General features: G+C 44.8%; 1 long non-coding RNA gene across 1 annotated transcript in view, besides 1 other annotated feature; it reads right to left on the bottom strand.

The window, feature by feature from the left end:
• The window catches only part of LOC101927045 (uncharacterized), a 59,245-nt gene that overhangs the window by 14,061 nt on the left and 32,609 nt on the right, over positions 1-12,575 (bottom strand). The gene's annotated exons all lie outside the window — the stretch shown is intronic.
• Positions 7,673-8,214: an enhancer, noted in NCBI's record as "NANOG-H3K27ac-H3K4me1 hESC enhancer chr14:24949129-24949670 (GRCh37/hg19 assembly coordinates)". NCBI's record gives its function as "activates a minimal SCP1, AML or CMV promoter by ChIP-STARR-seq in primed H9 embryonic stem cells {active_cell/tissue: H9 hESC(primed)}" and the evidence as "EXISTENCE:reporter gene assay evidence [ECO:0000049][PMID:30033119]".

The raw sequence follows: 12,575 nt of genomic DNA, 5'->3' as shown, positions 1-12,575 counted from the left end.
AAAAGAGGAAGTCAAATTGTCCCTGTTTGCAGACGACATGATTGTTTATCTAGAAAACCCCATCATCTCAGCCCAAAATCTCCTTAAGCTGATAAGCAACTTCAGCAAAGTCTCAGGATACAAAATCAATGTACAAAAATCACAAGCATTCTTATACACCAACAACAGACAAACAGAGAGCCAAATCATGAGTGAACTCCCATTCACAATTGCTTCAAAGAGAATAAAATACCTAGGAATCCAACTTACAAGGGATGTGAAGGACCTCTTCAAGGAGAACTACAAACCACTGCTCAAGGAAATAAAAGAGGACACAAACAAATGGAAGAACATTCCATGCTCATGGGTAGGAAGAATCAATATCGTGAAAATGGCCATACTGCCCAAGGTAATTTACAGATTCAATGCCATCCCCATCAAGCTACCAATGACTTTCTTCACAGAATTGGAAAAAACTACTTTAAAGTTCATATGGAACCAAAAAAGAGCTCGCATCGCCAAGTCAATCCTAAGCCAAAAGAACAAAGCTGGAGGCATCACACTACCTGACTTCAAACTATACTACAAGGCTACAGTAACCAAAACAGCATGGTACTGGTACCAAAACAGAGATATAGATCAATGGAACAGAACAGAGCCCCCAGAAATAATGCCGCATATCTACAACTATCTGATCTTTGACAAACTTGAGAAAAACAAGCAATGGGGAAAGGATTCCCTATTTAATAAATGGTGCTGGGAAAGCTGGCTAGCCATATGTAGAAAGCTGAAACTGGATCCCTTCCTTACACCTTATACAAAAATCAATTCAAGATGGATTAAAGATTTAAACGTTAGACCTAAAACCATTAAAACCCTAGAAGAAAACCTAGGCATTACCATTCAGGACATAGGCATGGGCAAGGACTTCATGTCCAAAACACCAAAAGCAATGGCAACAAAAGCCAAAATTGACAAATGGGATCTAATTAAACTAAAGAGCTTCTGCACAGCAAAAGAAACTACCATCAGAGTGAACAGGCAACCTACAACATGGGAGAAAATATTCGCAACCTACTCATCTGACAAAGGGCTAATATCCAGAATCTACAATGAACTCAAACAAATTTACAAGAAAAAAACAAACAACCCCATCAAAAAGTGGGCGAAGGACATGAACAGACACTTCTCAAAAGAAGACATTTATGCAGCCAAAAAACACATGAAAAAATGCTCATCATCACTGGCCATCAGAGAAATGCAAATCAAAACCACTATGAGATATCATCTCACACCAGTTAGAATGGCAATCATTAAAAAGTCAGGAAACAACAGGTGCTGGAGAGGATGTGGAGAAATAGGAACACTTTTACACTGTTGGTGGGACTGTAAACTAGTTCAACCATTGTGGAAGTCAGTGTGGCGATTCCTCAGGGATCTAGAACTAGAAATACCATTTGACCCAGCCATCCCATTACTGGGTATATACCCAAATGACTATAAATCATGCTGCTATAAAGACACATGCACACGTATGTTTATTGCGGCATTATTCACAATAGCAAAGACTTGGAACCAACCCAAATGTCCAACAATGATAGACTGGATTAAGAAAATGTGGCACATATACACCATGGAATACTATGCAGCCATAAAAAATGATGAGTTCATGTCCTTTGTAGGGACATGGATGAAATTGGAAACCATCATTCTCAGTAAACTATCGCAAGAACAAAAAACCAAACACCGCATATTCTCACTCATAGGTGGGAATTGAACAATGAGATCACAAGGACACAGGAAGGGGAATATCACACTCTGGGGACTGTGGTGGGGTCGGGGGAGGGGGGAGGGATAGCAGTGGGAGATATACCTAATGATAGATGACACGTTGGTGGGTGCAGCGCACCAGCATGTCACATGTATACATATGTAACTAACATGCACAATGTGCACATGTACCCTAAAACTTAAAGTATAATAAAAAAAAATAATAATAAAAATAAAGAATGCACACAACACTGAAAAAAATAAATAAATAAATAAAAAATAAAATAAAAACATGGTTGCCAAAATTTTTAAAATCAGGAAATCTCATTGGAAAATCCAGATTGCTGGCATCTCCTGAACATGAGGTCTGGCAATCATTGACCCATACTCCTGTATGGCAAGAATCAGTTGGAGTTGATGGCTGCTCAGTTCAGAAGGAGCATGCAACCATCTAACTCCCACACAGGAAATCCCACCTCCCCTTATTTGCTTCCCCAGCACAGAGTGTCCGTTTCCATGTATCATTGCTGTTATGCTGTTGCTTTTCTCGCAGTAAGGAGAAAAATGAAATTTTTCTTGAAATTTTTCTGTATCGAACATGGAGAATGATAAATATAGATGGAGAGAGCTGGCCATGTGCTTCAAAAAAAGTGGGGAGAGCACACACGGCTTTGTAGAAATAAAGATTCTTCCTATGAGTTTAATGTTTATTATGTAAATAAAGTTACATATTAATTTAACATGTACATATTAAATTAAATATAATGTAATATAGTTAAATTAACAGTCCACTTCACTAGTGCAGTTACCATCCTGGTTCCTGTAGGTATTTTATCTGATCAGAGTAGAGCAGCCTCAAGCTGACTTTGCATCCAAGTGAAACCCGTGTGTTCTTGACATACACAACTGTTAAGGCATGCATATTCACTTTTATTCTTGTGCAGTTGGTCTTTAAACCAAATGAGAGACTCTGTATCTATCCTTTAAGTATATACATATAGGCCAGGTGCAGTGGCTCATGCCGGTAATCCCAGCACTTTGGGAGGCCAAAGCAGGCGGATTGCCTGAGGTCAGGAGTTCGAGACCAGCCTGGCCAACATGGTGAAACCCCATCTCTACTAAAAATACAAAAATTAGCTGGGCATGGTGGCAGATGCCTGTAATCCCTGTAATCCCAATGAGACTCTGTCTCAAAAAAAATATATATATATATTTATATATATATATAATCTTTTGAGACTTTAATAAATCATTAGCAGAATCTTTTTAGACTGCTACTTTGCTCTCCTGGGTTTTGTGTATTCCTGCCAACTCATGACATTTTTAGCATTGATGGACATGCTTTCCATTGCATCTTCCAAGGCTGTCAAAAGCACTAGGTAGCCCAAGAATAAAATCAGAGCCTTTTGACAGTTTGAGATTTCTTCTTAAGACACCTCATAAATAAAATAAATACATAAAGAGAAGACAAACTTTAAAATATATATGATGCTACAAGAATTGACCAGATAGATCCATGAAACTGACTAGAGAGCTCAGATAATGGCTCTAGCCTATAGAAAACATTTAGTATATAGTAAACACAGAAACTATGGTAAAATAAATGGTGCTCAATTAATTTCTTAGCCATTTGGGAATAAATACTTATAAGCTATTACCATACGCATGACAAAGCTCTTGGCCACCCCAATCCACAGCTCCAGTAAACTGGGCTCAGATATGATTTGGTTTATTGGCTATGTGTATTTTGGGAGGGTCATCAGAGACCTCACCTTCTTCCCTTGTGACCAGCGATTTCTCCAAGAGTCCATCATATTGTATCTGTCTATCATGAAACAGAAAGGTCTCTCACAGCTCACAGTTACTACTGATACCAGAGAACATAATTTGACCCTCAAAAAGCTTAAGCAGACAGTGTATCAATCAACTGTGAGGAATGAATAAATCTATTTCCATCGTTGAAAGTCTAAAAAAAAATGGCTTTCCAAGTACCCTTTCTCAGAAAACTGCTGGGAGCTAGACATGACAAAATAAGGAGTAAATGAAGAAAAGATAGATAGTCAATAGGAAACTAGGGTTCAATAACAAGAGAGGTACCAGGGAAGTAACCAGCCCTCTCTGCAAAACTTAACCACTGAGGCGGTGCTTAAGGCCAGGTCAGCAATCACACAGAGGCACAGAGGAGAGAGGAGTCAGTTCTGCTAAAGAGAACAGGACACTAGCTCTAAATCTGAGCCCTGGGGTAGAATAGCTGTTGACATATAGGAAGGAACAAGCCTAAATGGTTCTCTATCTTGATTACTCCTGGCTGTTGAGAGGAAATCTGACCTCATGAAACCACAGCTTTAAGGCACAGACCCAGAGTAACTGTGGTTTTTCAGAGCCAGGACCGCACTATATTCTCCCATTCCAGCCCCAGGCCAGCCACATTCAAAGAATGCCCTAAAGGTGACCTTGGCCTTCCCTTTTTATTCTAGGATGTCAAGAGCAGTGTGGAGGAGCTAGAATGTCAGCCCAAGGCCCTCCAGCATTTCTTCCCTGAGAATAGTCCACACACACTTAGAACCCCTGGAGGCTGTCCTGATGTCCCAAGCGTGCAAGACTCTCACTATGCAAAACAGGCTTCCCCTGATCTTTACATATTTCTCTAGCTGTGCCGCCTGTCTGAAAAGGGAGAAGGACTGGAGAAAAGCCATCCTTTCTTTGCTCTGAGTCCTACCAAGTGAGGAGAGGAAGAGGAGCCAGCATTTGCCTTCCTAAGCTGCTAAAGCAGCAGTCCACCCAAAGGCTCTAAGGCTCACCCAGCCTAGGAGCCGGAGCATGCAAGGCGACCTCCAGCCTGCAGTGTGGGTAGAGGGGTTCTTCAGACCAGCCAAGAAAAAGGTGCTGCAGCTCAAAGGCGGAAAGAAACAATGGCAGGGCCTCTGCCACCTCTAGCAGATGCGGTGTCCCTGAAGATAAGAGGTCTCCTCCAAGATCAGTGCCATGGGCAGATTTTTACTGCCCCAGGAGATAAAGTGACTCTGGGGAGCTCTAGAATTAGACTTTTCCCACAAGTGCCAAGAATGAGAAATTTCGAGATGACAGCTGGGAAGTCCTCTATTGGGGCATTGAGTAGTAGAGATGGTCCCCTCCAAGCTAAACTGGTCTTTCTTCACCTTCCCCAAAGGAAATAGTTCATGAGACTCCCTGGGAGGGAAAAGCACCAGGGTGAAGGTGCTAGAACCTGGGGCTGAAGTGGCCTAAAGAGGGTAGGAGGCTGGACTACTGAAACCGCAGCACCTAAAGGGGCCTCAGGAGTTGTGACTCAGCCTCTGGCCATCCTCCCAGCTTAACCTCACACTAGCAGCAAACAGAGGCCTCTCCTTCATCTCCTTCCTTGGGGAAGAGGAAATAGAGTTAAAAAACGAGGAACTAGGCACAGCAGCTCACACCTGTAATCCCAGCACTTTGGGAGGCTGAAGTGGGAGGATCACTTAAGGCCAGGAGTTTGAGACCAGCCTGGGCAACATAGTGAGACCCCACCTCCATAAAAAAAATTAATTAGTGGGGCATGGTGGTGCACACCTGTGGTCCCAGCTGCTCAGGAGGCTGAGACAGGAGGATTGCTTGAGCCCAGGAGGTTGAGGCTGCAGTGAGCTGTGATGGTGCTACTGCACTCCAGCCTGGGCAATGGAGTGAGACCCTGTCTCTAAAAACACAAAATAAAATAAAACATAAAGAGGAAAGTCTCTGGTCCAAGTCCACTTCCCATAAGAGTGGGGTTCCGGGTTCTTCCTCCTATCTTCTCTCAGGTCTCCATCTGGCTTCCCTGGGTAAAATGGGAGCAGAGCATTCGCCCAGCCTCAGCAACTCACCTCGTGGTTGAGCCGCATTCTGTGGGGTTGGAATAAAATGAGTGCAAGCAGCCCATGCCTTCTCTTCTCGCCCACCCAAGCCCTCTCGTTGCTGCCCACCCAAGCTCTGCGGACGTGCACCCACTTCTCGCATGCACCCCTGCAGTGCCAGGCCCCTCTGCCAGGGATCCTCGGGAGAGAGGAATCTCCCTACCTCCTCTCCTACACACCCTTGCCCCTTTGAATGGCAGAGAAGACGGGGATGGGGTGGGAAATCGCCTGAAGGAGGCGCACACTGAGAGGTACGGTTTGGGGCCCCTTCGGGATCCTGCCCTCTCACCATTAGGGAGAGATGGGGGCCTTTCCGCCCAGGGGCAGGATTTTCTCCCAGTCACAGGGGCTGGCTGCTGGGAAGCCCCCAGGCCCACCCTCGATGACCTTCTCTTCCCTGCCCTGCTGACCTGCCAGCGCCCAGAACCCAGCTCAGCCTCTGGCCTCCCGGATGCCTGTCCCCCTCGAGGCACGCTGAGGTTGCTCGGAGTGCTGTCTCCCCTCCCGCCACCAGCTCCTGTCCCCTAAGACCGTCTTGACCAGCGCAACTTCCTCCTAGGTTCCAGCGGGGCCTTTCCACTGTCCCATGACCTGGCTGAGCGGGACCAGGCCTCTGGGACAGGCAAGGCCTCTCCTCACAGGCAACTCAACCCTTCACATCCAGCCCAGCCCTCGGTGGACTCCGGACCGCTGACCGCCAATCACAACACAGCCTCTGCTACTTTCAGCCTGCCCTGCCTTTGGGCTAAGGCTCCCCCAGCTGGCCACCTGGAACATGGCACCTTTCGAGTGAAAAGTTTTCTGGGCCACAGTCCTGCCATCAATCAATAAACAAATCCTCCTGAGGGCCTACATCGTCCCAGGCTTTCAAAGGTGAATACGCCTGGTTCAGTACTCGCCCTGTCAGAGATCACGGTCTATGAGACTTTTGTCTGATGTTACTGTCTCAGAGGAGCACAGCTTGTCCAAGATCTGGTTGGAGAAAAGAAATTGTAATATCCTTGTTTTGAGAAAAATATAAGATGTGAAGTGGTGTCATTTGTGTAGAATAATGCAAGGTCACATATATTATCTCATTTCATCCTAGAATCACTGTATGATTAGAGCTGAAACACTCAAACTTATCTTTGAAATATACTGTGCCATAGTGGTTAAGCATGCTAGCATTGAAACCAACTGCCTGGGTTCAAATCCCAGCTCTATCATATGATAGCTGTGTGACTTTGAGCAAAATACATACTGTCTCTGTGCCTCAGTTTCTCCATATCCAAAATACAGATAATTATAGTACCTATCTGATATAGTTTTGCTGTGTCCCCACCCAAATCTCATCTTGAATTGTAGTTCTCATAATCCCCACAAGTCATGGGAGGGACCCAGTGGGAGGTAATTGAATCAGGCTGATGTTCTCATGATAGTGAGTGATTTCTCACGAGATCTGATGGTTTTGTAAGGGGCTTTTCCCTCTTGCTTGGCACTTCTCTTTCCTGCCACCATGTGAAGAAGGATGTGTTTGTATCCCCTTCTGCCATGATTGTAAGTTTCCTGAGGTCTCCCCAGCCCTGCTGAACTGTGAATCAATTAAACATCTTTCCTTTATAAATTACCCAGCCTCAGGTATGTCTTGATAAGCAGTGTGAGAATGGACTAATACAGTAAATTGGTACCAGGTAGTGGGGCACTGCTGTAAAAATACCCAAAAGTGTGGAAGAGACCTTGGAACTGGGTACCAGGCAGAGGTTGGAACAGTTTGGAGGTCTCAGAAGAAGACAGGAAAATGTGGGAAAGTCTGGAACTTCCTGGAGACTTGTTGAATGACTTTGACCAAAATGCTGATAGTGATATGGACAATAAAGTCCAGGCTGAGGTGGTCTCAGATGGAGATGAGGAACTTGTTGGGAAATAGAGCAAAGGTAACTCTTGTTATGCTTTAGCACAGAGACTGGTGGCATTTTGCCCCTGCCCTAGAGATCTGTGGAACTTTGAACTTGAGAGAGATGATTCAGGGTATCTGGCAGAAGAAATTCCTAAGCAGCAAAGCATTCAAGATGTGACTTAGGTGCTCTTAAAAACACACAGTTTTATTCTTTCATGAAGATATGGTTTGGAGTTGGAATTTATGTTTAAAAGGGAAGCAGAGCATAAAAGTTCAGAAAATTTGCAGCCTGGTGATGTGCTAGAAAAGAAAAACCCATTTTCTGAGGAGAAATTCAAGCCAGCTGCAGATATTTGCATAAGTAAAGAGAAGCCAAATGTTAATTCCCAAGACAATGGGGAAAATGTCTCCAGGGCATGTCAGAGGTCTTTACAGCAGTCCTTCCCATCACAGACATGGAGGCTGAGGAGAAAAAAATGGCTGCATATGCTGGGCCCAGGGCCTTGCTGCTTTGTGCAGTCTTGGTACTTGGTGCCCTGCATCTCAGCTATGGCCAAAAGCGGCCAATGTACAGCTCAGGCCTTTGCTTCAGAGGGTGAAGCCCCAAGCCTTGGTGGCTTACACATGGTGTTGGGTCTGCAGGTGCAGAGAAATCAAGAAGTGAGGCTTGGGAACCTCTGCCTAGATTTCAAAAGATGTATGGAAATGCCTGGATGCTCAGGCAGAAGTTTGCTGCAGGGGCAGAGCCCTCATGGAGAATCTCTGCTAGGTCAGTGTGGAAGGGAAATGTGGGATGGGAGCCCCACACAGAGTCCACACTGGGGCGTTGCCTAGTAGAGTTGTGAGAAGAGGGCCACTGTCCTCAGACCCCAGGATGGTAGACCCAGCAACAGCTTGCATCATGTGCAGCCACAGACACTCAATGCCAGCCTGTGAAAGCAGCTAGAAGTTGGGGCTGTACCCTGCAAATCCAAGGGGCAGGGCTCCCCAAGACTGTGAAAACCCACCTCTTACATCAGTGTGACCTGGATGTGAGACATGGAGTCAAAAGAGATCATTTTGGAACTTTAAGGTTTAACGACTGCCCTATTGGATTTTGGACTTGCATGTGGCTTGTAGCCCCTTCATTTTGGCCAATTTCTCCCATTTGAAATGGGTGTATTTACCCAATGTCTGTACCCCCATTGTATCTAGAAAGCAACTAACTTACTTTTGATTTTACAGGCTCATAGGCAGGAGGGACTTGCCTTGTCTCAGATGAGACTTTAGACTCGGACTTTTGAGTTAATGCTGGAATGAGTTAAGCCTTTGGGGGACTGTTGGGAGGGCATGATTATAATTTGAAATGTGAGGACATGAGATTTGGGTGGAGCCAGTGGTGGAATGATATAGTTTGGCTGTGTCCCCACCCAAATCTCATCTTGAATTGTAGTTCCCATAATCCCCACATGTCATGGGAGGAACCCGGTGGGAAGTAATTGAATCATGGGGGCAATTACCCCCATGCTGCTGTTCTTGTGAAAGTGAGTGGGTTCTCAAGAGACCTGATTGTTTTATAAGAGGCTTTTCCCACTTTTGCTTGGCACGTCTCCTTCCTGCCACCATGTGAAGAGGGCATGTTTGCTTCCCCTTCTGCAGTGATTGTAAGTGTCCTGAGGCCTTCCCAGCCATGCTGAGCTTTGAGTCAATTAAACCTTTTTCCTTTATAAATTACCCAATCTTGGGTATGTCTTTATTAGCAGTGTGAGATTGGACTAATACACTATCTTATGTAGTTATTGAAAGCAAGCTAATACTTGCTTAAAACACATAAGGGCTCAACATAGTTAGCTATTATTGCTATCACATAATCCAAAATCCTAATTGTATGAGTAGGACCCAATAAGGTAAAAGGACTTCTGTGGTCACACAAAGTTCTTGACTCTTAACCAAGTGTGTCATTGATTCTCTTAGAAACTGGAAAATTCATTTAAAGGAACTTAGTTAATTTACTCATGTACCACCCTAACCCATTGCTTAAATTCTGCTACCTCGTCTTCACCTGGTGATCCCCTAGCCTGGGTGACCTACTCCACTTTTTGACCACTCAGATGATTAGAAAGTTCTTGAACTAAAAATCTGCTTCCTGGTTATTTCTGCCCAGAGGGCCTTCATTTGCATTCTGTGTTCACACCTGAACAAGTAAAACAAATCTAACACTTCAAATCCAAACCACCCTCCAATCATATAAAGACAATGGTCATACCTCTCCAGGTCTTTTCTTTCTCTGACTAATAGCTCTCATTCCTCCAGCCTCCTCACTTCTCTGGACATATCCCTCAGGGTCCAGGGTTGACGCTTTCCTGGGACAGGTCCCCCATATGTTCAGCTGTTGTGAAAGACCACATGCAAGAGCAGGAGGCAAGGCCCCCTGCCCTACCCATGACTCCTCAGGCCACTGGAGGAGTGGGGCAAGCCAAGTATACAAATTAGAACCAGATCACTTCCCTAACTTGAGACCCATACTCATGGTGTAGAAGAGTATTTGTTGATGTCTGGGATTTGCTTCAAAATAATCTGAGGGGTTGGGGAGGTTGGCATAAGGCAAGGAATGGAAGGTGTAAAGGAAATTAAATTGGCCATGTATTGATTATGATGGAAGGTGAGGAACAGATACATTGAGTTCACTATACAATCCTTCCTACTTTTGTATGCATTTGAAAACTTTTATAATAAAATCTTTTAAAAATATTTCTGACACAGGATCCAATACAAGAAGATGAACTCCTCCTTTCACTTTGAAATAGGATTCTTCCCTTGTATAAAACAAGAGGAGGCTGGTACAGTGGCTCATGCCTGTATTCCAGCACTTTAGGAGGCTGAGGCAGGAGGATCATTTGAGCTCAGGAGTTTGATACCAACCTGGGTGACATGGTGAGATGCCATCTCTACAAAAAATACAAAAACTAGCTGGGCATGATGGCACATGCCTGTAGTCTCAGCTACCCTACTCAGGAGGCTGAGGTGGGAGAATTGCTAAACCTGGGAGATTGAGGCTGCAGTGAGCTGTGTTCACACCACTGAACTCCAGCCTGAGTAACAAACCAAGACCTGGTCTCAAAAAAAAAAAAAAGAAAGACAAGATGAGGACCAGGCTTCTGAAACCCCTCCCCTCCACCACATGGAGCCATTGTCCAGCCTTTAGTCTTAATATAATGTAATGTTGAGGCAAAGAAAAAAATTATATGTACCATATCTTCAACAATGGGATAATAGGTGCACACTTGTTTGTGAGATTAGAAGTGACTGGGTTTTTTTTAATTAATTATAAACTTATTACATTGATTTTTTACAACAGACATAACTAAACATAAAACAAAAAGGAGCAAAAGACTTTGCTGAAACATCTTCATAGGAGTCCAGAATATAAACTGAAACAGAGCACATACACCAGAAAGACCTTCCCGGAAGATTGTGGAACCAGGTCCCCAGAGCAGAAATTGCAGGAGAGACTCATAACTCTCCAGGCCCAGTGCTGGGGGAACCCCTCATGGAAGCAGCTGTAATGAGGCCTGGAAACTGGACACTGCTGGGCCCTGACATCCAGGCCTCAATGCCCTGACTCAGCCCATGGCAGCGACCCCTTCAAACAGGCTCCATGTGGGCCTGTAATCAGGAAAGACTAGAGCATCCAGGAGTGGAGATTTGATTCTGAGATGCTGGGAGTTGTTCCTGGTTCTTGCTCCTGTCTGGCTGGTGCTGACAGCCAAAAGTGGGGAGTTGTGTGAGCTTTGTCCTTCAGCACTAGAGGCTTCACCCAACCCATGAGAAGGGGATGCCCCTGGCTTGCCCATCACAAGCACTGGCCAAGCTGAGTCCCCGCTGCTGAGGGAAAGAGAAAGAAGCCAAGGCTGCTCAAGTCAAAACACACTGCTGGCCAGGCCCAGTAGTGTGGGTCTGTAATCCTAGCTACACAGGAGGCCAAGGCAGGAGGATCGCTTGAGCCCAGGATTTCGAGGCTACAGTGAGCTATGATTGTGCCACTGTATTCCAGCCTGGGCAACAGAGTGAGACTCTGTCTATAAAAACAAAAAAAGCAAAAAACAACTCCAAAAAACACTGAACACTGACTACATGCCAATACACAGCACAATACATGTAATTAAAGGGTTTGTCAGTATGAGAGCTCTAAGGCAAGCCTGGTTTTTCCAGGAAAAACCCTGGACTTTTCCTCTTTTCCCTTTGAATATCCCAAGACTAAGTATTCCCCATACAAACCATATGAGGCTGCCCTTCTGTGCACTGGATCTTCTGTGCACTGGATCTCTCAGTCTGCCAGGCCAGAAAGAGACAGAGAAAGAGCTCATAGATCTCTCTCTAGATTACATGATTTGTGGCTGGGGTTATTATTTAGTGAGTCTATGTTTTGGATTAAATGATGAGAGGCTTCTGTCCTCACTCAACTTTTCAGCACTTTCAATTTGTTTGGGTAGTTTAAGTGTTTGGGGGTTTTGCTGTTGTTTTTGTTACGTGGCTTTAGTGCAATTAAACGCAACCACTCCCCAGAAGAGGAGTTGGCTGCATTACTTTGGGTTCATTTTCTCATCAGTAATTACATCATTAGGTAAGAGTAGCCAGGAAGCTAAGATCTTTGCTAATTTTCGTGATAGTTTTCCTGATGAAAATCTTCTCTGATTTGCATCTGGTATATGACCGTATCTTTGCTGGGCCCCCTGGCTCTGAAAAGTGCACCCTGACCAGCTGTGAGTTTTCTGTAATCAACCCCACCTCAGGCTCTGAAATAATCACATTGACCTGTTCTTTGGTCCTTTATCCTCAAATGGCCTTTCTGTCACATCCCAGCAGTGGCCAATGGCACAATCACGCAGGGTAATGTAGGGAAAATTCAACAGAGGGAATATTTGCAAAAGAAGCAGAGTTACAGAAAACCAGTAGGGCATGGTGATGTGCCCCAGAGCTAGCAAGAGTGAGAAGCCACCACTGCCTACCAGCAGGAAGGGGCCTGGAGAAGGAGTGGTTCTTGAAACCTGGGAAGAGAGTGGAAGTTCTACCTCTATGGTGCC

The sequence above is a fragment of the Homo sapiens genome, chromosome 14 (genome assembly GCF_000001405.40).
Source record: "Homo sapiens chromosome 14, GRCh38.p14 Primary Assembly".
Lineage (NCBI taxonomy): Eukaryota > Metazoa > Chordata > Mammalia > Primates > Hominidae > Homo > Homo sapiens.
The sequence above is the reverse complement of the archived record's forward strand: the minus strand, read 5'-3'. Positions and strand labels throughout refer to the sequence as shown.